The 27,747-nt window shown below is 38.4% G+C and overlaps 1 protein-coding gene and 1 pseudogene across 5 annotated transcripts in view, besides 2 other annotated features; one reads left to right on the top strand and one right to left on the bottom strand.

Annotated features, from left to right (window-relative positions):
- The window catches only part of PYROXD1 (pyridine nucleotide-disulphide oxidoreductase domain 1), a 33,596-nt gene extending 22,733 nt beyond the window's left edge, over positions 1 to 10,863 (bottom strand). For 4 of the 5 annotated variants that reach the window (NM_024854.5, NM_001350913.2, XM_047429554.1 and 1 more), the window contains exons 1-3: positions 10,704 to 10,863; positions 8,070 to 8,150; positions 3,052 to 3,171 (exon numbers count right to left, since the gene is read on the bottom strand). In NM_024854.5, the coding sequence (NP_079130.2) occupies positions 3,052 to 3,171; positions 8,070 to 8,150; positions 10,704 to 10,787 (285 nt within the window). In that variant the 5' untranslated portion in view covers positions 10,788 to 10,863. Of the gene's footprint in view, positions 1 to 3,051; positions 3,172 to 8,069; positions 8,151 to 9,979; positions 10,604 to 10,703 lie in introns of those variants that run through there. The other variant, NM_001350912.2, reaches the window with a different exon arrangement.
- Positions 203 to 962, top strand: ELOCP31 (elongin C pseudogene 31; annotated as a pseudogene).
- Positions 10,715 to 10,904: an enhancer, noted in NCBI's record as "active region_6087". NCBI's record gives its function as "activates an Ori minimal core promoter by ATAC-STARR-seq in GM12878 lymphoblastoid cells {active_cell/tissue: GM12878}" and the evidence as "EXISTENCE:reporter gene assay evidence [ECO:0000049][PMID:35858748]".
- Positions 10,955 to 11,034: an enhancer, noted in NCBI's record as "active region_6086". NCBI's record gives its function as "activates an Ori minimal core promoter by ATAC-STARR-seq in GM12878 lymphoblastoid cells {active_cell/tissue: GM12878}" and the evidence as "EXISTENCE:reporter gene assay evidence [ECO:0000049][PMID:35858748]".

The following is a 27,747-nucleotide window of genomic DNA, read 5'->3' as shown; positions in this document are numbered from 1 at the left end:
AGAATTTCAACTGACAAGAACAAAAGTTAATTATAGGCACTGACAAAACTTTAAAAATAATTTGCATTTAGCTGCTGTAAAAACAAATAGCACAAACAAACACAAAAACTCTTTCCATTAGCTACTGCTAAATTTTTGGCAAGAGACGTGAAAGTAAAACATACTATCTCTAATTCACTAAAAAATGTAAAGGACACTTCTCCAGACGGAAGTGAGCCACACACTCTGCGTCCTCGCCTCACTAGGAAACTACTGAAGTTCCTGGGGAAGCACAGTAGCATTTCATAAGAACAAAATGGATGGGGAAGAGAAAACCTATGGTGGCTGTGAAGGCCCTGATGCCAGGTATGTGAAATTGATATCATCTGATGGCCATGAATTTACTGTAAAAAGAGAACATGCATTAACATCAGACATGATAAAAGCCATGTTGAGTGGCCCAGCTCAGTTTGCTGAGAATGAAACCAATGAGGTCAATTTTAGAGAGATACCTTCACACGTGCTATCAAAAGTACGCATGTGTTTTTTTTTTTTTTAGATGGAGTCTCGCTCTGTCGCCCAGGCTGGAGTGCAGCGGCGTGATCTCAGCTCACTGCAATCTCCCGGGTTCATGTCATTCTCCTGCCTCAGCCTCCCAAGTAGCTGGGACTACAGGCGCCCGCCCCCACGCCTGGCTAATTTTTTTTTGTATTTTTAGTAGAGACGGGATTTCACCGTGTTAGCCAGGACGGTCTCGACCTCCTGACCTCGTGATCCACCCGCCAAGGCCTCCCAAAGTGCTGGGATTACAGGTGTGAGCCACCGCGCCTGGCAGTATGCATGTATTTTACATACAAAGTTCGCTACACTAACAGCTCCACTGAGTTCCCGAATTCCCAACTGCACCTGAAATAGCACTAGAACTGCTGATGGCTGCCAACTTCCTAGATTGTTAAATAAAAGAAATTATAATAAACTGTTAAAAAAACAAAAATGTAAAGGACAATGGATAAGAGAAGGCAGACATGCACTGCATGTGGGATATTTTTCAAATGGTAACGGGAAGCACTCTGATTCATTCAAATGCCCTAACACATAAATTCCCTGACAATCCATTTAGCATATTTTGAGAGCCCACCTCAATTTACAAATAAATTGACAAATATATTACTTGGAATATGTAATACCACTATAAGTATTAGAAACTTATCTGGTTTGGGGATTCAGATTTTTTATTTTTTCCTGATAAAATTCAGTACTTTTTTCTCTCAAATTACTTGTGTTTCAAATGTGGTATATATGTGTTTTATCCCTAAAGGAGATAAAACACATCTCTAATTTATGAGCTAGAACTCATAAATTAGAACTGCTTATAGAAACAACTACAAATCTACTTCTCATCTTACCTGAAGCTCATCTGAGGATACTGTAAATCATCTAACAACATCCTTTCCTGAGACTGCCTTCTTCATTCTCATGTAAAGGGTTATTGAGTCCTGCCAAATTTATAGCAGAAATCTCACTCAAATCTGGGATATTTTTTACAACTACATTGTCCCTGTCTCAGTTCAGACCTTACATCATTTTTCAAATCAATTTTTTAAAAATTATTATTATCCTTTTTGAGACAGGGTCTCACTCTGTTGCCCAGGCTGGAGTGCAGTGGCGCAATCACAGCTAACTGCAGCCTTGAACTCCCAGGCTCAGGTGATCTTCCCACCTCAGTCACCAAAGTAGCTGGGACTACAAGTGCACGCCACCATGCCTGATTAACTTTTTGTATATTTTTTGTAGATATGGGGTTTTGCTATGTTGCCCAGGCTAGAGTCGAACTTCTAGGCTAAAGCCATCCGTCTGCCTTGGCCTCACAAAGTGCTGGGGATTATAGGCATGAGCCTGTACATAATTTCCTGACTCTTCACATAATTTTTGACTATCATAACCACCTTCTAGTTTGGTTGGCTACTAGCCACTTGTTCATGCTCAACACTCCTATCAGATGTATCTTCCTTAAAAAAAAAAAAAAATCTATTTTATCATTGATGCCCCAGCTCTTAAAATCACCTTACAATTTCTCCCAAATATAAAACAAACTCAACTTCTCTCTTTTTTTTGAGAAGGAGTCTCGCTCTGTCGCCCAGGCTGGAGTGCAGTGGTGCGATCTGGGCTCACTGCAAGCTCCGCCTCCCGGGTTCACGCCATTCTCCTGCCTCAAGTCTCCCGAGTAGCTGGGACTAACAGGTGCACGCCACCACACCCGGCTAATTTTTTGTATTTTTAGTAGAGACAGGGTTTCACCATGTTAGCCAGGATGGTCTCAATCTCCTGACCTCATGATCCGCCTGCCTCAGCCTCCCAAAGTGCTGGGATTACAGGCGTGAGCCAACGCACCGGCCCAAACTCAACTTCTTATAGTGTGACATTAAAAACCCTTCAGGTTCTCACTTACTTATCTTCTAGCCTTGATTGCCAATCTCCTTTACTTAACCACACCCTAATCCCTTTGACATCTCTATTCTTCATATTTCTTTTCCTTTCTTTGGGTCTTTGAACATTCAATCTCCCCTTCCTGGAATGCCTCTTTCCACCTGGGGAACTCTTAATTTCACTCATCTGTTAATACCCCCCTCATTTTACTCTCTCTGTAAAGTCTTCCTTAAGCCCTGATATCAGAGCTTTGATAGTATTTCAGTGACTGTGTTTTTTATATGTCAATATAATTATAGTATGCATGTTCATATTCCCTTTGACACTGACAGTTCCTAGGAGCCAACACCTCGTATTAACCCTACTGCATCCCAGCACCTAATGCAGTATCCAGAACACAGTGGACACTTTATAAACATTAATGTAATTTGAAATGTGAAGACTAAAATCCCAAATCTAATTATATAATTCCAATAAACTTACAAAAACTGTATTTTTTCTAATAATACTGGAAATCAATGTCACTAAACTTTACATGTTAAAAACTTAAATGGTGGTGGTAGTAGAGCTGGAGTGAAAAGAGGCAGGCAAAACTTCATCAAGATTCAACAATGGAAAATGTTATTAAGAAAACAATTATCTTACGTGTTCTTCACTCTTCAGTTGCTTTACGCCAGATTCTATAACCTTAATGTTGGGAAAGCGTTTTCCTAACATGGTACTTGATTGTTCTTCAACATCGAATTCTTCCAATATTTTAGAAATCTGTATAGATCCAAGAGATTAAAAATGTATATTTTTAAAGTATTTTCTTTCAAGAATCTTAAATAATAAAAATACTTTGCTTTTACACACTATTTTGTGTTTATAAAACAAACAAGTTAGCCAACTGCACTATATAGAGTGGAAAGAGGACTAGACTCAGCATTTAGAGACTTAAATATTTGCTTGGCCGCTCCTGGGCAAGTCAGGTGCTACAAGCCATAGTTTCCTGGCTAATAAAATGAGAGCTGACCTGTAAAATGAGGGGTAACACCACTTACATTTCTACAGTTTAGCCAAACAGCTTATTTATTTCCTTATCCTTCAAGCTTTCTCTATTTACTAGCAGACCTTATGGTCATCTAGTCTTTGCACTCTTCTTTCCTGTTCTATAAAACCATCAGTATTCTAGACTCACTTTCCTTTCTGTCCAGCTAAAGTTCAATTGTGAATCATTTCACCTTTTCCCTAAATCCTTTACTTCCTTGCTCTCTTATCCTAAACTGTTAACCTGAAAACCCTCAACCCTATAAACTATCTGCTTGCTCTAGTCCTAAGCCCAGTTTGCTGCAGAAAGACCACACAGCCTTACAGATTGATATTCAACCTCAGCTGCTCCTTAAAAACTGCATGGAAATCTTACTGCATGGCCCTGACAGTTCTCAAACCTTTTGGTCTCATGACCCCTTTACAGTCTTACAAATTATGTAAGAACCTACTTCTAGGGTTATTTAAGGATCATAGAATAGATCTGAAACCTTTAGAAGGCCACTTGATGCATGGTAAGCACTTAATAAATGTGAATTATTAGCAGTAATCTTTTTTCTCCTTTAAAAATTATACAAGTCATGAATCATGCTCTTTGTAACACTAAACAAACAATACATAATACAGAGTAAATGTTAAAGTCTCTATCACTCTTCATATCTCATCCTTAATCCCTCAGGATAAGCACTAGTGACTTTTTGGTGTTATGTTCTATACTTTTAATCTCCTTATCTTATGTGCCTAGCACATTGGTTAATATATAATATAGGTACTCAATAAATCATAAAGATAATGCCATTTCCTACTGCTGTACACAGAATAGCTGATATTTGTATATTTGTTATTGGCACATTTAAGTTCACAACCCTGTGAAGTAAGCAAGGAAAGTATTAACCTAATACTACAGGTGAAGCAGCTTACAGAGATCTTCCAAGGCTACCCGACCAGTAAATAAGAGGCCTAGAAACCAAGCTTTTTCCTTCTGTTGTATATAACTTACAAAACCGGCAAAAACTGAATTCAAGTCTCACAACTCTTGGATTATTATACTGAATTAGGTCTTCTGGAAAGATACTTATGAGACCCAGCTATACATCCTTCTCTTATGTATACAGTCTTAGCTTGTCATTAAATATGTACTTTTACCTTTTAAAGATTAATAGCTATAATTTTTCCTCTATTTCTCCCAAACTCCATAACTCTTTGGCTATACCTAAGTACTAAGCTATCATATGTATCTCTATTTAGGTTATAAAGGGACAACATGGTATATGCCACTAAACTACCCTTGGTCTTATGGGTTTACAACATGAGAAAATTATATTCCATTATCAGGATATTACCAGAGACATCGTATTAAATGAAGGGCTATGGTAGTAGTCTTCACTGAAGGGTGGGAAGAAAGATCAGAATGTACGTTTTTCGACATTTTAGAAATTTTATTTTGCATAGGCTTTATAACATTTATAATTGTAGTTCTGTAGCTCATACACATAACTTATTAGTATACATATATTGGGATGTCAGGGCAAAACTTTTTAACAGTTGAGCTACAGGAAAAAAAAAGTTTGGAGATGACTTTTCTATGATACTATTACCCAACTGTTCTTAGACTCCTACTATAATGTGAATATAAATTAATGGAATACAAAGTATTCTGAGACACTAATTATCTATAAGTATAAACTTGGCTTGGAAGCACTTTTCTGATGTGTAAACACACACACACACCCCTACCCATATTGATAATAAATATCATGTATATTTGTACCCATTTTAGATTTGCAGAGCATCTTTCCTGAAAATTTTTTATTGGAAACTTTCTCAAAAGTAATTCTAAGTGGAAGGAAAATGGAGAAAAAGAATAGAAGATTAAAAATTTAGTATCATTCTGGGAGCTTCTGGTATTCTATCTGAATAATTCTCAACTCGAGCTTTTTTAAAATAACTCTCAAAAGAATATTTGTAATTTTAAACAATTAAAACACTCCAGAATACATGGAGGTATTGTCATCAAGATGGCTAAGTAGGAGATACCAGCCTTCATTCCCCCATTAAAAAAAACAAATATAGACAAATCTTCACAAGCCAAAATAGCCCAAAGAGGGCTCAACGGCCCATTAAACAATCTGCAGCAACACAGTGGAGCATGAAAATGGAGAATAACCACATAAAAGAATCAATAATGACCCTGGCATACCTGAGAAACTAGGAGATAGCTAGGAGCAAAGAAAGGCAGAGGCTATCAGTATCAGCCACATGGTGGGGACCACTGTGGTAAATGGTGGCCTGCACTGCAGAGGAAACTGGCATCCCTTGCTACTGTGAGGGGACCAACAACCATTCCTGCCAGGGAACCCTAGAGTGGGAGACATGGCGGCATATCTTGTCTCCACAAAGAAGTGGCCAATGTCAAGATGCTTTGGCAAAGGAGTCACTTTGTCCTCAACCCTGTGAGTGTTCCAACCCCAGGGCCATGGTCACTCTGAGAATGCCTACACCTCAGACCCAGGTTCTACGGCCCATACTGGGCCCACCTACATCTCAGACACCAGAGCCATCACCATAGTAAGCTAGTTTGCACTTTGGGGCCTGCAACCAATCCTCACTGCACATGTCTGCAATCTAGGCACTGGCTCAGCTGCCATTGAAAGCTAGGCCCTGCCCTGACACTGAAGCTGCTGTAACTCTGAGCACACATGTGTTCCCATTCTTGGTTTCCCTGGCTGCCTCACAAGCATCCTCACCTCATATTCTATTACCAATATAGCAGTACGGGTACCTGCACCCTAGGCACCAATATCATTACAGTCCCAGATCCCAGAACTTTAATTCCTCCGTGTATGCCTGTGTTTTGGGCCTCAGCTCTATCTGCTCCATAGGCACCACTTATCAGACACCAGCGCTGCTGCCACTGAACCCAGAAGGCAGACTCAGTGCCAACAGGGATCCCCTAAGCCACAACTTCCTTTGTGGGAGAAGAAAAGATTGGGAGGCTATTAGCAGCCATTGACATTGAAAACCCCAACAACCCTCACTACCACTGCAGACATCCAGAGTTGGATGCTGAGGATCCCTGCAATCTTCAACAACAATTAACTCAGCTGACGGAGCTGCACAGACTACAAAGTGGGCACCCTCACTGGTGCCAGAACTGCTACATCCCATCTAGCAAGCAGCCCTCCCCATAGGGGAAGGTCTTTCCACAGCAAAACTAGCCCATACTTCTGAAAACAGCAAGTGTGTCATCAAATGTGCAAACATCAACATAAGGCAGTAAGAAACATGATAAACCAAGAAGATATGCCACCAAAAGAACACAAATGTCAGAACTGCCTAAGAATTCAAAATAATTGTTTAAAGAAGCTGAAGGAACTTCAAGAAGTTACAAACAATTCAATTAAATCAGAAAAACAATAAGCAACCAAAACAAAAAATTTAAAAAGTTATTTAAAAACTAAAGCAGAAATTCTGACGATGAAAGATGCAATGAATGAAACAAAAAAAAATGCAACAGACTATGTCAACAAGAGAACTGATCACACAGAAGAAAACATCTGTGAATCTGAAGACAGATTATTTGAAAATATACAGTCAGAAGGGAAGAAGAAGAAAAAAGAATGAAAAAGAACATAGAAGTAGGGAATTAAAGGATGGCATCAAATGAGCAAATCTTTGAATTATAGGCGTTATAGAAGGAGACAAGAAAGACAAAGGAGTAGAACATGTATTTAAAGAAATAACAACAGAAAACTTTCCAGGCTGGGCGCGGTGGCTCACACCTGTAATCCCAGCAATTTGGGAGGCCGAGGTGGATGGATCACGAGGTCAGGAGTTCCAGACCAGCCTGGCCAATATGGTGAAACCCCGTCTCTACTAAAAAATACAAAAAATTAGCTGGGCATGGTTGCGGGCGCCTGTAGTCCTAGCTACTTGGGAGGCTGAGGCAGGAGAATGGCGTGAACCCAGGAGGCGGAGCTTGCAGTGAGCCAAGATCGTGCCACTGCACTCCAGTCTGGGCAACAGGGTGAGACTCCATCTCAAAAAAAAGCAATCAATTCACCATAATCAAGTGGGATTTATTCAGGGATGCAAAGATGGCTTAAAATATGCAAATCGGTAAATGTGATATACCACATTAACAGAACAAAGGACAAAAATCATGACCATCTCTACAGATATAGAAAAAATATTCAACAAAATTAAACGTCTTTTCATAATAAAAACCCAACAATTAGGTATGGAAGGAAAGTACCACAACAAAAAAATGGTCATATACAAGCCTATAGCTAATAATATATTGAATGGAGAAAAGCTGAAAGCTTTTCCAAGATCAAGAACAACACAAGGATGCCCACTCTCACAACTTCTATTCAACACAGTACTAAAGTCCTAGCTAGAGCAATTAAATTAGGTGACAGAAAGAAATAAAAGGCATCCAAATTGGAAAGATTTTAAATAGCTTGACTTAGCCATTCCACAATGTATACATGTATCAAAACATCATGTTGTACAGCATATAACTGTACTTGTCAATTTTTAAGAAAGAAAAAAATACACAATTACCCTAACTGCTATGCAAGTTATTGCAATTTTTTCAAATTAATATTAACAAGTTATACAAAGGTTCTTACCTGCTTGAAATTTGTAACTGCTTTAATAACAGGAGAAGCTGTTACCAAGAGAATATCTTCCGATGGAAAGTGAGTAGCCAACTTATTTTTAAAAAGAGAGAAAAAAAATTAGGACAAATTACTTTAAGTACTGGTATATATGGTTTGGGGTTGAGAATAATGCAATTTTAATAATGTAATTAATCTAGAAAATTAAAAACCCACTGTTCCTCATCTAAAGGTCTCCATTATCCTTGGTCTTGATGGGGCAATGGTGAATAATATTAAACTCTGATACTGAGAAAATAATATTTACAGTAAACACTAACAAAGAACTCCTGAACAAGAAAAGTGATATAAAGAAATATCCTTTATTTACTTCAACTATTTTTTATACCAATTTAGAGTTATAATGCAGAGGATGAGAATAAACTATCTTCCTAATTACCAGTTAAACCAACTTCTATTTATCTTAAAATAATATTTCATTTGTCTTCAATGGGATGAAATTAAAGCAAACCCTCAATATTAAACACTTAGAATATTGGTCTAACTTTCCCCAGGTGCTCTGGCACTCCTATTCTGCCTCTTCCAGTCAGTACATATTGTGGGACGATAAAGCCATTTTAATAATTGCTTCCACAAAATTTAGAGGTATAACTTGTTAATGTTTCATTATTTTCCTTTAGCTACAACCTCGGTCTTCTTCACTCTGTACCTGAAAGCATTTTCTTATCTCAAAGTCTGGTTCCTCGACACCACCACCCTCAATAATCTGGCTTCTATTCCTACTCCATCACTAAAACAGCATGTTTGAGGGATCTATGAATCCTTAAAATCCAAGGGATTATTTATTTTTTTTTTAATGGAGATGGGATCTTGCCATGTTGCCCAGTCTGGCTTCAAACTCCTGGACTCATGCAATCCTCCCACCTTGGCCTCCCAAAGTTCTAAGATTACAAGTGTGAGCTATCGTGCCCAACACCCATGCGATTCTTCTCAGTCTCATTTTATTTGAACTTTCTATATTTGACAATATCATTACTCTCTCCATCTTTCTTTCCTCTGTATATTCTGTAATTTATATCTCTGCTGTTTCCATTGCTAGATGAGGTCCTCAAAACTTCTTTATACTACTGAAATCACCTTCGAATTGGCTCTCCAGTTTCACGTATAAACCAGCTGCCTCTGCCACAAATACATTGTAACTAATCATCTTTCAAGCCTTTTCATATGATCAAGTTACTCCACTGCTCAAAAACATTTGACTACTTGTAAATTCTTGTTAAGTTCTCAGCATGCTAAGACTCCTTATGATCTATGCTTTAAGCTTTACTGCTCCCTGATGATCCATGCTTTTCCACTGGAGATGACATTCTTTTCTTGAATACTTGGTAAACTTTCACTCATTCTTTCATAATGAGATTTTAAAAATACCTTCTTTGATTAAAAAAATTTCCTCTTCCCTAATTCACTCCCTACATACTCCACAGGCACCTCTAAGATAACCGTTGATATCTCTTGCATAGACATACAATATTGTAATATTGTCTCTTCCAGCAGGCTGTGAGTCCCCAGCATGGTATATACCATGCTGTTCATAGTTGAACACTCAGCCCTTAATACGGTGCCTGCATCATATATGTTTACTTAGTGAATAAACGGAAAATACGCATCCAACGATGGAAACACTTGAGTTTCTTCCACTATTTCTTATGACTTCAGTGATTGCTCATGTTTACTTTATATCAACAAAATAATGTAGAACTTTTTGGAATACACACATGTATCTGAATATATATGGTCTGGCTATTCAGTATAATCAAGAAAGCAAGCCCTACATGCATTTAATCCTTCGCTGATTATTTTACAAAACTTTACTAGAAATAAAGTTTCTTCTATCTTGGGAGTTCGAAGTATAGAAAACTTACATATGGGATTCTTTATTAATTAGTTAAGATGCACTAAAGACTTGGCAACTATCTGGAAACTAAACTCAATCACCTACGATAATTAACAAAGGGGGCTGAGGGCCGGGTGCTGTGGCTCAGGCCTGTAATGCCAGCACTTCGGTAGGCGGAAGCGGGCAGACTGCTTGAGCCCAGGAGTTCGAGACCAGCCTGGCCAACATGGTGAAAGCCCGTCTCTACTAAAAATACAAACATTAGCGGGGCGTGGTGGCTGGCGCCTGTAATCCCAGCTACAGGCTGACGCAACAGAAGAATCGCTTGAACCCGGGAGGCAAAGCTTGCATTAAGCCAAGATCGCACCACTGCCCTCCAGTCTGGGCGACAGAGTGAGACTCCGTCTCAAAGAAAAAGAAAAAAAAATAAAAAGAAAGGGGGCTGAATTTTTTGTCTAAATACAAAGTCCTCATGTCTGCTCTGACATTACAAGGATCTGAGCACGGATCAGCCAGCTTTGGTTTCTCGGCTATAATTTGCCTCCCACTCCTCCCTGCGCCTAAGAGAAAGCTAGTGAGGTCATCTGAGGACCACCAAGCAGTTTCTAAAATCTGGGAGCAATAAGTGCGGAAAAGGGCGCAGCAAAAAAGGAACCCGGAAGAAGAAAAAGGGAGGGGGTGGGAGGAAGGCCTCCAGTGCTATCCCCTTTGGGGTCGGGGAAAGAGGCGGAACCGCCTGAGCACCGCCCTACCTGCTCCGCACAAGTGACGCCCGCGATGCCGCCGCCGACCACCACGAACTTCCCTGCCGTCGGGGGAGGGCGCGCTGCCTCCATGCTGCCGGACTCCCAGTGGTTTACTGAATATCGCGGCGGAGCAACGGGACTCTGGACTCCAGGAGAGGAAGCAGCCGCGAGGCGGTCACTTCCGGTGCCTTACCAGATAATCCGACCTACGGGTGCTCGGGAGCTCACACTACTCATCTCGAGTACCTGCTGCCGGCTGCGTTTCGGAAGCAACGAATTGTCTCGTGGTGTTCAGAGCTTTGCGTTACTATTACTACACCTGAATGTAGTTATTCCATGAAAATTTGACAAAGAGAAAACCAAAAAATTAAAAATAAAAAAGTAAAGAAGATGGGTTGCCCAAAGAAGTTTGATAAATTACATATCTAAAGATAGACCAGTGTTCTCACGGGACAAAACATTCATATAATAAATGAATTGGTGTGAAGTTCTCATTATTTGTTTCTGCGAGAAATTAGAGGCACAGATTTTATGCTCTTATGAGTAGAAGGAGCCTTCGGGAACATCCTGACCCCACTCCTGTCATTTTTGTAGATGAAGAAACTTGAGTCTTCTGAAAACCACTTGATTGCCACCGTTCACCTAACAATCCAAGATTTTTGTTTGTGGAAGCACAAAAATTCTTCATGACAAGGCAAAACAATACTACTGAATTGTTCTCTAAAAAATCATCCTTTTCATTTACAACTTTGACCTCAGCTAAAGTTTCCAGGAAGAATGTACAGTTGCTTTCCATTTTGTCAAAACAAATGAACATTTCTTAAATTTCCAGTCAATAGCAGCATGTGTGAGGGTTGAATGAAATATTCCCAGTCTCGGTTTTACTGTGAATTTTTTTCGTGGTCAATTGTTTTTAAGAAATTGCTAAATCATTTTTAACTGTTTTTACTATATTATTCACTATTCATATTATTTTACTATTTACTATTACCTTTGCTGTCTCATATAACTTTCCCTAGGAGTTGTTTTGTAATGGTAAGGTATTATCTCTCAAATGGTTCACTCTAAAACTGGTAATTACCCGAGTCCCTTTAATTCTTTAAACACTGAGAATAACCATTATATATTAACAGGAAAGCCTACCACGTATCTAATTACAGGCATTTACTGATACCTGTAAAAATCATTGTTCTTTGATTTACCAAGTTAAATGGTAAGCGGTTTAATAAACGTGTCTAATTCCTGTTACTAGTATAGCAACCAAACAAAGCATTCATTTCTAGGAGGAGGAAATACATTCCTTAAGCCCATTTAGATCTCATCTTGCTTCAGCTTATTTTCACATTATCTCACTCACACTGTGTTCCATTCAGGCCACACTACACTTCCAGATCCCAGGATATGCCATTTTCTTTCTGAGCATTTGCACATATCTTTTTCCCAACTACTTTTCCCTGGCTAACTCATCAACCTTTGGTTTCATCAAGCCATTGCTTCCCCTTTAAGATACTTTATCTAACATCCTCAAGACAGCTAGGTGTCCTCTCCGTGTGTTCTTATAGCACTTTGTCATCCTCTAAATTTAGACTTATCCCACTTTATTGTAAATTCTTACTGCCTGACCCCACCACCACCATAAACTGCTTACATAATCTCAGGGATTATTTTTGTCTCCCTTTGTATCTCCAATGTTTAGTAGGGAGTATGTATTCAACAAAAATGTGCTCAACGAAATAGGAAGTTGGTGGAGCATGAAACTCCCCTGAAGTCCTTCTAAAGATTTTTAGATTCATTGTCCAGGGTCAGGATCCTCTTGTATATTGTGACAGGGGTTTCCTCTTTATGGAAGTCGGAAGGAAGAATGGAGTGGAATTTAAGCTCCCAGGGGAAACGGAAGGAGATCATCGTCTGTGGGAGGGGAAGCAAAGTAGTAGGAGGCTCCTCAAATGTAAAGGGGTAATGACTCCACACTCTCCTTTTTTCTTCCCCTTGTGAAGGCTGGCTTTTTTGTCAAAGGTGATGTAGGGATAAGACCTAGCTGCCTGCCACACTGGCATGAATATCCAACTTTTAGAAATGTCTAAGGGTTAAAGAACTTTCAGTGCATCTCACCTTAATGTTGATTAAATTAGATACATATACTGGATGTAAAGTGGGTTAAAAGTAAGATGTAGGTAACTTGAAACATGTTATCCACAGGGAGGGCAGCAATAGGTACAGGTTAGGAGAAAGGGCAACTGCAAAGAAAACTGGGCACCTAGAAATAAGGGAGGCCCAATGCCAGGAAGCAGCAGAGAAGCAGAAAAGACAGAACTTCAGCTCCCCTTTAGCTCTGGTCAGCAAGCTTAGGAGTGACCTGGTGACTGTTTCTGAGGAGTCAAAGAAATACCAGTGTATTGCTAAATATTATGGTGTATGTTTATGGGTGGAAAAGAAAAGCAGGACTTGGCAAAGAAAGGTTCAGAGAAGAAGTGGAATTTATATTGAATCTCAAAGGCCCATAGCATTTGGATAGGTTCAGAAGAAGATGTGGCAAGTCATGTGGGAAATATCCCAAGAACCAAAGGCTTAGCAGCAGGAATGAGCATGGGAAATACAGGAGATGGTAAAAGGGAAGAAAGAAAGAAAAGTGGTTGGGGAGTTCAAGATTCATGTGGAAAAACTGAAGGAGATAAAGCTATCTTCTTCTATTTCTCTCCATAATGTTGTTACATCTGATTCCCATACCCACCTAATCTCTTGAAGGCCATCCCCAACTTTCAAACTACCATCAAAATCTAGTCTTCCATTCTTCTTCAAGTTGATATCAGAAATGCCTAGAATAGGAGTATTGAGGTTAATTTTCAACTGCAAAAATTGGGAATGAATAATGACATTTCATAGTTGGTGATTAATAGCTTTTGAGTCAGATGACCTAGGTTCAAATGTGGCACCAGCATTTCTTTGTTGTGTGACCATTCAGTGAGTTATTTACCTCATCTGAACCCTAGTTTCCTCATTGGCAAGACGGGTATAAGATCTACTTTGTAGAGTTGTTTTGATGCATGTGTGAGGCAACATATTTAAACTTCCTAGCATAGTGCGTGCCTCTTAGTAGGATTAATGGTTAAGTTGCCTGCCTGTGCCCTGTTGAATAGACTATGTTTCTCTGTCTAAAGGATTTTATCTATGATCATAACCTTAACAAGCCTATTATGCTTTTAACTCCCAAATGTCTATCTCTCATGCAATCTACTCTGAATCTTCAAGCCTGAAATTTCTGAAACATCTTGGATATCTTCTCATTTTTATCTTGGTTTTTGCCAATTCGCTGTAAGTACAGCCTGGATTCATCTTGCACTCGAAACCTCTTCTTTGTTTTGTTAGTTCATATAACTGATTTACTGAACAAGCTGGACTTTATAGGGAAGAAATTAAAGCAAACATTTTTATTTCTCAACGCTTTTCCTGTGAATGTATTTTTCTCCTCTAAATTCTTATTAATTTAGCTTATCTGATCATTCTCAGGTAATAAAAAGTCTGGTACTACCTATTATCAAAACTCCAGACACGCATCCAATTAAAGCCTCACCTAACTACAGGCAACGCAAATTGATTTCTTGTTGCTTTTTTGCTCCAGCTCTTCTCCTAACTAAGAGCTGATGTTTTCAGGGGCTTTAAGATTGGAGGGTGGGTAAGGAGTAAGGAGAGGAAAGAGCCTCACTGTTGTTCCTGTATGAGCATATATATGCAAACCTACCCCCAAAGGCTGAGAGAGCTGAGAGGCCAAAGAAAAACTGACAAATCCAGTTTCTCAGAAAGAGGTATTTAATAGGGACTTACACACAGAAATGATGATTCTGTTACAGTGCATCCCCACACCTGCCCTCCAGAAATTATGTAAGCTTTTAGGATAAAAGATGTACAGCTGATCATGTCTCAGACTTTCTTGCAAAACTCATGAACACTGGGGAGTCTAGATAAGAATCTTAATGAGAGAATTATCTAAGTTACAAGCTTTGTTTCTTTTGAAGGGTTATCTATGCTATGGGCATTGTTTAAGGACCTTGCTGCAGAACACCTTAGTATGCAGGAATCCAACATCAGTCATCATGGCCGTGGTGTCATTCTTGCCATACCGCAGGCTGTCTTCCTATATCTATGAATCAGTGGTGTGGTACAACTGTGAATCTGTGAGAGCTGATTGTTAAAATTTTAGGATTTGTGTGAGCTGATTGTTAACACAGCTATTGTTAAACACTAAATTGTATAAACATAATCAAATAAGTTATATTAAGACAAAGGTAATAAATATTCAAAACTTCTTATTTCCTAACTCTTTTGCTATTATCTCTACTCTTGAGGTTATTTACATCTATTGTATCTACAGGTAAAAATATAATGGTGGGCTACTATACATTTCTTCCTACTGCCTCATTCAGCGACGTCATGTTGATCTTGAAATTGGCCGTAATAGGAGTATTTACACCATGGAAAATGGCAGATTATACAAACCAGAGTTTGATTTATTTTATTGTTGATTTTTTAGAGTTAAAAAGGTGGTGGACAATAGCAAAGACATGGGATCAACCCAAATGCCCATCAATGATAGACTGGATAAAGACAATGTGGTACATATACACCATGGAATACTATGCAGCCATAAAAAGGAATCAAATTATGCCCTTTACACTGACATGGATGGAGCTGGAGGCCATTATCCTTAGCAAACTAACACAGGAACAGAAAACCAAATACCGTATGTTCTCACTTATAAGTGGGAGCTAAATGATGAGAACAGCATGGACACACAGAGGGAAACATCACACACTGGGCCTGTCTGAGGGTGGAGGTAGGAGGAGGGAGAGGATCAGGAAAAGTAATTAATGGATACTGGGCTTAATACCTGGGTGATGAAATAATCAGTACAACAAACCCCCCATGACACATGTTTACCTATGTAACAAACCTTCACATCCTGTACATGTACCCCTGAACTTAAAAGTTAAAGAAACACAAAATAGATGGAGACTCATTTAAAAAAACTGATGGAGAGAATGTTAATAATGAAATTAAAAGAGTGTCATGTCTGTTGTGGTAGATTGTAGTACACTGTGAATAGCACAAAAAAACTGAAGAAATTCTTTTTTCAGAGAGCTGCTATTCAATTTAGCAAAGAACTCACTAATATCAGACAAACAAGTGAAATTGCAACCTATTGTTCCTTTGTTTCACTTCCATCTTACTAGTTAATGTAAATAGAAAAGTCAATCAACATTCAAACTACACTCATCAATTGCTGTCATAGTTTGGGTAATACAAGCAAAAATCAATGAAAGGATTCTGTAGAATCAGCTGGCTATATGGAATTTACAATAAAGAGTATTGCATATTATTATTTGTAAAATATTTGCTATACACCTTTCAATAAAATTTATAATAAACCTATGTATATATACATACACACACACACATATATTTATACATGCAGTTTTTTCAGACAGCCAGTTGTTCAACATTTGCCGGCACAAACATTAGTTATAATCTAGCATCGCTGTTTTCATGGTGTGGCTGATTCCAAATGTTGATTCTCTGCTGGGGTGCTTTTATGGGTACATCAGAATCTCCACATCACTGGGGATCTCTCACCTACAGGTTCTGGGCCTTTCCTTCTCCAGATTCAGTCCCTTTTAAGATGAAACAGGGTCCACAATGGGCTTCTGGGAAACTCACTCATCCTTTGTCCCCACTAGACTCTGAAAGTGCACATCAAGCCAACAGAGCATCTCTCTTTTCTGCTGTCCGAATGTCTACCTAGTCACACCTCTGTGTCTTCAGTGGAATGAAGTATCAGTTTCTGCATCATTCGGACTCCAGGGGCTACCTGTAAAGCTCTCTAAATGGTTCCCTTAACGTCCTCCTCACTTGTGCTGCGGACAGGGCATTGGTGGTGGTGGGGTGAAACACTTTCCCTTCCTCTTCCCCATATGCTTCGTGAGCATGTTGGAGCAGGGAGTGAATGTGATGCACTAATGCTGGCAAAACCAATTTTATAGTCTTTTAGCACGCGTTGCCTGTGTGGTCTAGTACCTTGCGTTGAAGGCATTGGTCAACTTGACGCCTATTATACTGTTCTTAAGCTTTTGGAGCTGAATTAACCAGAAAAATCACATTTAACCCCATGATATACCATGTTTGTTTTATAAATATTAAACTTATACCATTTAGAAAACTGAATGCATTTCTTACACCATATTCCCTCAACTTCAAAGTGTAGTTTCTCAAGTCCTACCAATTCTAAAGTGTTTCCCAGTTCCTTCATTTCAGTTTTGACTGTTACTGCGCTATTTTTGGTCTTCTTCGCCCACTTAGACTATTAAAATGAGTTCCTGATTGGTCTTTGTTCCTCCATTCACTGTCTTTAAACTTATCCTCCATGCTGCCGTAAGAGTTATCTTATAAAAGGGAGATGTGGTTCCTCTGCCTTTCTACCACTTCTGCTTCTGGAACATTCCCAGTTCCCTGAATGCATCAAAAATTCTTGTCTCAGGCAGGGCTTGGTTGCTCACGCCTGTAATCCCGGGACTTTGAGAGGCTGAGGTGGACAGATCGCCTGAGCCCAGAAGTTCAAGACCAGCCTGGGCCACATGACCAAACCTCATCTCTACAAAAAATACAAAAATTAGCTGGGCATGGTGGCAAGTACCTGTGGTCCTAGCTACTCCAGAGGCTGAGGTAGAAGGATCACCTGGGACTGGGGAGGTTGAGGCTGCAGTGAGCCTTGATCGCACCACTGCTCTCCAGCCTGAGAGAAAGGGTAAAACCTTGTCTCAAAAAAAAAAAAAAAAAAAGAATTTTGGTTTCCTTCATTACAGGCTTTCTTGCTCTGCCTATAGAAATCTATGGGTCTAAGAATGGTAAGCTCAGATGCCACCCACCATTCTCAGGGAGAAATGGCCAAATCTGTAGTACTTTACTGCATTGAGCAGTGTTTCTTGTGTTAAAGTTGGTGTGTCCTTATTAGGCTTCTTTGAGAAAGGGAATGTATTTTATTCACCTTTGATTTTCTTGCTTGTGGCCCTAATCCCAGCACTTAGCACAGCAATTTAAGTAATATTTATTCAATAAATGTTTCTTAAGTCTTTATAATTAACATAGTAAGCACAATCTTATAAAGACCGAGGCTTCATAGTATGGCTGAATCTACAATTGTGAAACATGAATTTGCCTTATGAGATACTGCTGTTCCTTTCTCAATAGTTTGATATGATATTTTGAGACCAGGTTGTTCTGTTGTTCTAGGTAGATAAATGTTACAGTCACCCCACAGTATCAGGAAGGAACTCACAGTATCAGGAAGGAACCCCCATCCAAAATTTGATTTGGATGTGAAGATTAATGATCACACACACATACACACACACACACACACACACACACACACTCACCCCATGAGGGAATGAAAAGGCTTATTACTTACATAATGAGGCTTTCTGGGGAGAATAGGACAGGATTATAAGCTGATCCAAAAATAGCTTGGAGAGCAGAGAAGGGTGACAGGCCCTGTTTTTAATGAGATTAGGTGATCGAGCTGGGGTGAGAGTTCTGGCACATACAGGCCAGTCCTTGTATGGCTTGAAAATCACGTGGGCACCAAGGGAGGGGCATACTGAAACCTTCTCAGACTGCCCAGATGTGGGGCAGCAAGGGACAGGGGAGTCGTGAGGCCTGAAAGCTTCCAGCAGTCAAACATCAACAATGGAATCAGGCTCTTTATTACAATAAGAGGCTTTCCTGCTGGGTTTCCAATGCTGTTTACTCGGTTTATAAAATTTCTAAGCTCTTCACAAGCGGTACCATGGAGCTTCATATTTCAATTTAAGTTTCAAACCATATCAACAGGAAATACTCTTATTAAGTTGTAAGTACACAAATTCCAAAGCCAAATATAAAACCTTTTTTATTATCCGCACCTCGTTTCTATAACTTTTGAATCATGATGAAAACTTCTAAAAGATGTCCTTCATAGTACGAAATAGTATAATTTGCATGTACTTTTCTGTATCCTTTATAAAGAAATAGATTTATAACTTTCATGCTGTTTTTGAATAAAACATTAGTACTTATGTTTCATGGCATTCATTCATTAATTGCTATGATTTCCATATATAAAATAATTGTGACAGCAGTTGAAAGAATTATTATTTAATGATCTGAGGCTTAATTATTTTCTATTTAATACATCAGGTAACATTTTAACATCAGTTACATTGAAGATCAGGGAAATTCAGATTTTTTTTTCATAATTAAATAAAATCAGGCCAGATATGGTGGTTCACACCTGTAATTTCAACACTTTGGGAGGGAGGCTGAGACTGGTGGATCGCTTGAGTCCAGGAGTTTGAGACCAAACTCGGCAATATGGCAAAAGTTCGTCTCTATAAAAAACACAAAATTAGCCAGGCATGGTGGTGCATGCCTGTGGTCTCAGCTACTCCAGAAGCTGAGATGGGAGGATCACCTTAGCCCAGGAGGGCAAGGCTGCAGTGAGCTATGATTGTACCATTTCACTCCAGCTTAGGTGACAGAGTGAGACCCTGTCTCAAAAAAAATTAAAAAAAAAAAAAACTGTTTTCAGGCTAGTTATTATACTAAAGAAAAAGGAAGAAGCAACACTTTCTACTCCTATTTTTGTTGATTAAAATAACTTGTGATTTCTAAAAAATAAATTAAGATGCAAAGAAAGTACAGCATAATTTATTCGTAATGAGTAAAATGTTAAATTATGGTATCGAATGTGGCTAATTTATTTCAGTTGACGGACAGTACCGAAATTAAAGATTTTTTATCTCTTAATTTTACTTCTTTTAGAAAGAAAAATGAAACACATTTGTTGTTTCAAATATTATTGCAGTACACATTAATTTTTTTAAGTTTAAACTAACCCCAAACATATGTATATGAACATTTAAGTAAATTTTCCCTTTTAATTTTGAAAATATATTCAAGTTTACATGAGATTTTAAAGTTTTAGCTGTCAAAATATCTTTACTCAGTTTATTTATGCTAACAATGGTGGACATTGAGAATGCTTGACCAAAAGCAGCAAGCTACAAAGGAAAAGAAACATTCTCATTTCATCTTCAAACTTTGGAGATACAAGTCTAAAAAATTTCTGGCTTGATTCAAGTCAGGCCATTTAGTGCGTAGATTACATTTAGCAAAAGAGCAGTTAAGAAAACATATTTGATATAACAACAAAAATAGTTATTCTTTTGGCCGTGAAATTGCATTCACAAAGGAAAAAGCTTTTTTTTTCTCAATAAGAAGAAATATTTATTTAAATGGACACATCAGCTGGCTGTGTTGTGATTTGAAATTATCTAAATTTTTGTCAGTTGACTAATAGTTACAGCATCAGATGTCTGTAAAGAACTTTCTTTTGCCCCAGCCGTCTGCCTCAGGAACGGACACTATGCTTTTCTGTATTTATTAATGTAACCTGTTGAAGAGGAATGTTAATGTCAATTGTCAGATGGTCATGACTTATGGATTCATAATGTAATTACCTTCCTTATATTCAAAGGTAATTGAGAAATAAGTCAAAACATTTTACAGATCTAATTATATTGCAAAAACATGAATTACTTTTTGACAATATTCCTATTTTTGTTTTACTTCTTTGGTTACTTTTTTTCTCTTTCCTGTGATTATTCTTTTTTTTTTTACCTGCCCCTAAATGTAGTTGTTTCTCAAAGCCATCTTCTTTACCAAATTTTCTTCTCTTTCTATATGTCCTTTATCAGTACATTTACTCCTACTTGCCTATCAAATATTCATTATTCCCTGCTTTCTTACTAAAGGAACCCCAATTTTGTTTGAATTGACAATGTGCCATCCAAAAACACTTGTTTTTCTAGACTCTTTTAGCTAAGGTAGCCATGGTACACAGTTCTAGCCAATGAATAACGGATGGTCAGCCAGGGATTTGGGGAAAGCTTTTGCTCTTTTGAGGCTTTTAGTTCTACCTCTTCTCTTCCTCCTTCTTCCTGTCTGGAATGTGGATGTGAGGTTAAGGTAGAGCAGTCATCTTACAACCAGGAGATGGCAAGCATGAAGATAAAGGCACATATGCTAATGATGTCAAGAAAAGAGATAGAGCGATCCTTCTCTAAAGGCTTCACTGAACCACTTTTACAAATCTGGATTGTCTACCTCCAGGACTCTTGTTCCCTGAGACAAATTGCTATGTGTTTAATCCACTCTTCCTTGTCTGTTGTGATCACTGAACATAATACTGAGTCTGCTTTTATTTAATTGCCTAAGGACACCTACACTTGATCAAGCCATATTTATTTCTATTGCTCATCTCTGCTTTCTCTTCAATGTACTATTTGAAAATATGAAAAACTGAAGGCTACATTCTGTATCATTTGCAAAGTCAAATAAATTACTTTTGGTTCAAAAGAGTTCAATTATTTATTCTGACATTTCTCAGTGTGATTTATCTGCAAACTTTTGCTGTTGGCATGATGTGATTTATAACTTGGGAACCTTGACGACAGTTTGATTTCCTTGTACCATTACTTGACCACATTAGTGTCAATTCATGTTAATTGTTCCTACAAACTTGGTCCAAATTAATTTTTTTTTAAATTTAGGCATGATATATTTCATCAGATGTAGATTCCAATTTGCCACCTTTTCTCTATTGAGGTTGCTTAGCAGAGAGCAGGAAGCAGGCCACTGTGCAAATTAACTTATATTTAACTACCTGTGTGTATTTATAGGCATATATACATCTATGTCTACATCTGCATTTATATCTATGTATGTGATTGAGATATCAGATAGTTACATGAACGTAACTTTTTCCAAGGCAATAGCTTTGTTTTATTCCCAACCACCATGGATTTCTATTTAATGATTTAATATGGTAAATGTCTAAGTCTGAATATATTTCTCAGTTTCTTAGAAGTTTGTATTAATGAAAATTAATCAAATATGCTCAATAAGCATGTTTTAATTTTGTAATATAAAACTAATAAAATGAATTAAGAGAATTATATTTGGGCAGTGCAAATGCAAATCAGTAAGGCTATTCTAATGTTATTTGAAAGTTTTAAAATTGTTACCTTTTCACTCATTAATTCATTCAGCATATATTTATTGAGTACCTGCTACGTGCACCTAGGATATATCAGTGAATAAAACAAAGAAATTTCTGCTGTACAAGGGAAAGGCAGTCGATTAAAAAAAATTAATGAATACACAGGGTTGTATGTCAAAAAGTGCTAAGAGTATGGAAAACAATTTTAAAAAGGAAAGTGGGATCAATATGTGCAGAGTTGAAAATTTTAAGTAAGGTCAATAGGTAGATTTTAATGAAAAGATGATATTTGAGCTATGACATGATGGAGGTGAGAAAGCCATGTGGAGTCTGGGGGAAGAGCTTTATAGATGGTGAGTAGGAGTGGGGTGGTGGGCAAATAGTTAAAAAAATGATAGCATTTCTCACATGGAGGAGGCCAATCTTGTTGGACCAGAATGTATGACGGGGAAAGAAGTATGATACGACGTCAGAGATCAGGGAAGGAGTGGACAGATTAAATAGACATTTCTAGGCCATGTAAGAATTTTGGCACTTATTGGGTGAAACAAGGAGTCACTGTAGGACTTTGAGTGGAAGAGTGACATGCTCAGAAGAGTGTAAAACAACAAAAAAAAGAGAGACAAGATGCAGCAGGTGAGACGAGATGGTGGCTTGGCCAAGTGACAAGCACTTAGATTCTGAATCTGTTTTGAAGAAAAAATCAATCAACAAGATTTGAGGAGGTTGACAATACAATTTTTATCATCCGTACTAGATAGTTCTAAAACTATCTAGGGATGCTATTAAGTATTATGCCAAGAGAGGAGACATAAACCAGAATTGTCCTGGACATAAACCCATTGTATTCATTTGTGCCCTTGAAAAGAGCATTTTTTCCTCTTTGCAAAACAACTTCTAGTATCCTTCTCTCTTAAATCCATTTCTGTCAGGCTTTGCCTCCACAAGGCATATAAATAGATTGTTTTGCAGTTATTTGTACTAGGGCAGAAAAATGTCCTCTGGTCAAATGAAGCATTGCATTCTGGGAGAAAAAATGCTGAGAGATAAAGAAAAGTAAGTATTGTCCCAATGTTTCTGGTTAAGAAGGCAGAGAGATAATATGCCATCTAGTGAGATAAGGAAAACTGCAAGTTGAACAGGGAACAGGGTCTTCTTTTTGGGGGAAAGGGTCAGTGGGGAGAGGGAAGAAGGGGGAAAACAGCCTTGTTTTATGTATATTGAGTTTGATATATTCATTAGAGATCTCGTGGAGCTATTGAGTAAGCATGTGATTGAAGTTCCGTAATAATGTCTGGACTGGATTTATTGATTTGGGAATGGTCACCCTATAGGACATATTCAAATGTCATTAGACTGGATGAGATCACTGAAGAAATAAATATAGATGGAGTAGAGAAAAGGACCAAGAAGTGACCCCTGAAGTATTCCAGTGTTCGAAGATTTTGTGGAAGAGAAGGGTCCACCAAAAGACCCTTCAGGAGGAGTAGAGAGTTTTTTTTTTTTTTTTATTAAACTTTAAGTTTTAGGGTACATGTGCACATTGTGCAGGTTAGTTAAATATGTATACATGTGCCATGCTGGTGCGCTGGACCCACTAACTCGTCATCTAGCATTAGGTATATCTCCCAATGCTATCCCTCCCCCCTCCCCCCACCCCACAACAATCCCCAGAGTGTAATATTCCCCTTCCTGTTTCCATGTGATCTCATTGTTCAATTCTCACCTATGAGTGAGAATATGCGGTGTTTGGTTTTTTGTTCTTGCAATAGTTTACTGAGAATGATGATTTCCAATTTCATCCATGTCCCTACAAAGGACATGAACTCATCATTTTTTATGGCTGCATAGTATTCCATGGTGTATATGTGCCACATTTTCTTAATCCAGTCTATCATTGTTGGACATTTGGGTTGGTTCCAAGTCTTTGCTATTGTGAATAATGCCGCAATAAACATACGTGTGCATGTGTCTTTATAGCAGCATGATTTATAGTCCTTTGGGTATATACCCAGTAATGGGATGGCTGGGTCAAATGGTATTTCCAGTTCTAGATCCCCAAGAAATCACCACACTGACTTCCACAATGGTTGAACTAGTTTACAGTCCCACCAACAGTGTAAAAGTGTTCCTATTTCTCCACATCCTCTCCAGCACCTGTTGTTTCCTGACTTTTTAATGATTGCCATTCTAACTGGTGTGAGATGGTATCTCATTGTGGTTTTGATTTGCATTTCTCTGATGGCCAGTGATGATGAGCATTTTTTCAAGTGTTTTTTAGCTGCATAAATGTCTTCTTTTGAGAAGTGTCTGTTCATGTCCTTTGCCCACTTTTTGATGGGGTTGTTTGTTTTTTTCTTGTAAATTTGTTTGAGTTCATTGTAGATTCTGGATATTAGCCCTTTGTCAGATGAGTAGGTTGCGAAAATTTCCTCCCATTTTGTAGGTTGCCTGTTCACTCTGATGGTAGTTTCTTTTGCTGTGCAGAAGCTCTTTAGTTTAATTAGATCCCATTTGTCAATTTTGTCTTTTGTTGCCATTGCTTTTGGTGTTTTAGACATGAAGTCCTTGCCCATGCCTATGTCCTGAATGGTAATGCCTAGGTTTTCTTCTAGGGTTTTTATGGCTTTAGGTCTAATGTTTAAGTCTTTAATCCATCTTGAATTGATTTTTTATAAGGTATAAGGAAGGGATCCAGTTTCAGCTTTCTACATATGGCTAGCCAGTTTTCCCAGCACCATTTATTAAATAGGGAATCCTTTCCCCATTGCTTGTTTTTCTCAGGTTTGTCAAAGATCAGATAGTTGTAGATATGAGGCATTATTTCTGAGGGCTCTGTTCTGTTCCATTGATCTATATCTCTGTTTTGGTACCAGTACCATGCTGTTTTGGTTACTGTAGCCTTGTAGTATAGTTTGAAGTCAGGTAGTGTGATGCCTCCAGCTTTGTTCTTTTGGCTTAGGATTGACTTGGCGATGCGGGCTCTTTTTTGGTTCCATATGAACTTTAAAGTAGTTTTTTCCAATTCTGTGAAGAAAGTCATTGGTAGCTTGATGGGGATGGCATTGAATCTGTAAATTACCTTGGGCAGTATGGTCATTTTCACGATATTGATTCTTCCTACCCATGAGCATGGAATGTTCTTCCATTTGTTTGCATCCTCTTTTATTTCCTTGAGCAGTGGTTTGTAGTTCTCCTTGAAGAGGTCCTTCACATCCCTTGTAAGTTGGATTCCTAGGTATTTTATTCTCTTTGAAGCAATTGTGAATGGGAGTTCACTCATGATTTGGCTCTCTGTTTGTCTGTTGTTGGTGTATAAGAATGCTTGTGATTTTTGCACATTTATTTTGTATCCTGAGACTTTGCTGAAGTTGCTTATCAGCTTAAGGAGATTTTGGGCTGAGATGATGGGGTTTTCTAGATATACAATCATGTCATCTGCAAACAGGGACAATTTGACTTCCTCTTTTCCTAATTGAATACCCTTTATTTCCTTCTCCTGCCTAATTGCCCTGGCCAGAACTTCCAACACTCTGTTGAATAGGAGTGGTGAGAGAGGGCATCCCTGTCTTGTGCCAGTTTTCAAAGGGAATGCTTCCAGTTTTTGTCCATTCAGTATGACACTGGCTGTGGGTTTGTCATAGATAGCTCTTATTATTTTGAAATACGTCCCATCAATACCTAATTTATTGAGAGTTTTTAGCATGAAGGGTTGTTGAATTTTGTCAAAGGCCTTTTCTGCATCTATTGAGATAATCATGTGGTTTTTGTCTTTGGCTCTGTTTATATGCTGGATTACATTTATCGATTTGCGTATATTGAACCAGCCTTGCATCCCAGGGATGAAGCCCACTTGATCATGGTGGATAAGCTTTTTGATGTGCTGCTGGATTCGGTTTGCCAGTATTTTATTGAGGATTTTTGCATCAATGTTCATCAAGGATATTGGTCTAAAATTCTCTTTTTTTGTTGTGTCTCTGCCTGGCTTTGGTATCAGAATGATGCTGGCCTCATAAAATGAGTTAGGGAGGATTCCGTCTTTTTCTATTGATTGGAATAGTTTCAGAAGGAATGGTACCAGTTCCTCCTTGTACCTCTGGTAGAATTCGGCTGTGAATCCATCTGGTCCTGGACTCTTTTTTGTTGGTAAGCTATTGATTATTGCCACAATTTCAGCTCCTGTTATTGGTCTATTCAGAGATTCAACTTCTTCCTTGTTTAGTCTTGGGAGAGTGTATGTGTCCAGGAATTTATCCATTTCTTCTAGATTTTCTAGTTTATTTGCGTAGAGATGTTTGTAGTATTCTCTGATGGTAGTTTGTATTTCTGTGGGATCGGTGATGATATCCCCTTTATCATTTTTTATTGCGTCTATTTGATTCTTCTCTCTTTTTTTCTTTATTAGTCTTGCTAGCGGTCTATCAATTTTGTTGATGCTTTCAAAAATCCAGCTCCTGGATTCATTAATTTTTTGAAGGGTTTTTTGTGTCTCTATTTCCTTCAGTTCTGCTCTGATTTTAGTTATTTCTTGCCTTCTGCTAGCTTTTGAATGTGTTTGCTCTTGCTTTTCTAGTTCTTTTAATGGTGATGTTAGCGTGTCAATTTTGGATCTTTCCTGCTTTCTTTTGTGAGCATTTAGTGCTATAAATTTCCCTCTACACACTGCTTTGAATGTGTCCCAGAGATTCTGGTATGTTGTGTCTTTGTTCTCGTTGGTTTCAAAGAACATCTTTATTTCTGCCTTCATTTCGTTATGTACCCAGTAGTCATTCAGGAGCAGGTTGTTCAGTTTCCATGTAGTTGAGCAGTTTTGAGTGAGATTCTTAATCCTGAGTTCTAGTTTGATTGCACTGTGGTCTGAGAGATAGTTTGTTATAATTTCTGTTCTTTTACATTTGTTGAGGAGAGCTTTACTTCCCAGTATGTGGTCAATTTTGGAATAGGTGTGGTGTGGTGCTGAAAAAAATGTATATTCTGTTGATTTGGGGTGGAGGGTTCTGTAGATGTCTATTAGGTCCGCTTGGTGCAGAGCTGAGTTCAATTCCTGGGTATTGTTGACTTTCTGTCTCGTTGATCTGTCTAATGTTGACAGTGGGGTGTTAAAGTCTCCCTTATTAATGTGTGGGAGTCTAAGTCTCTTTGTAGGTCACTCAGGACTTGCTTTATGAATCTGGGTGCTCCTGTATTGGGTGCATATATATTTAGGATAGTTAGCTCTTCTTGTTGAATTGATCCCTTTACCATTATGTAATGGCCTTCTTTGTCTCTTTTGATCTTTGTTGGTTTAAAGTCTGTTTTATCAGAGACTAGGATTGCAACCCCTGCCTTTTTTTGTTTTCCATTTGCTTGGTAGATCTTCCTTCATCCTTTTATTTTGAGCCTATGTGTGTCTCTGCACGTGAGATGGGTTTCCTGAATACAGCACACTGATGGGTCTTGACTCTTTATCCAATTTGCCAGTCTGTGTCTTTTAATTGGAGCATTTAGTCCATTTACATTTAAAGTTAATATTGTTATGTGTGAATTTGATCCTGTCATTATGATGTTAGCTGGTTATTTTGCTCGTTAGTTGATGCAGTTTCTTCCTAGTCTCGATGGTCTTTACATTTTGCCATGATTTTGCAGCAGCTGGTACCGGTTGTTCCTTTCCATGTTTAGTGCTTCCTTCAGGAGCTCTTGTAAGGCTGGCCTGGTGGTGACAAAATCTCTCAGCATTTGCTTGTCTGTAAAGGATTTTATTTCTCCTTCACTTATGAAGCTTAGTTTGGCTGGATATGAAATTCTGGGTTGAAAATTCTTTTCTTTAAGAATGTTGAATATTGGCCCCCACTCTCTTCTGGCTTGTAGGGTTTCTGCTGAGAGATCAGCTGTTAGTCTGATGGGCTTCCCTTTGAGGGTAACCTGACCTTTCTCTCTGGCTGCCCTTAGCATTTTTTCCTTCATTTCAACTTTGGTGAATCT

This window comes from Homo sapiens, chromosome 12 (assembly GCF_000001405.40).
Source record: "Homo sapiens chromosome 12, GRCh38.p14 Primary Assembly".
Classification (NCBI taxonomy): domain Eukaryota; kingdom Metazoa; phylum Chordata; class Mammalia; order Primates; family Hominidae; genus Homo; species Homo sapiens.
This window is presented reverse-complemented; position numbering and strand designations above follow the sequence as displayed.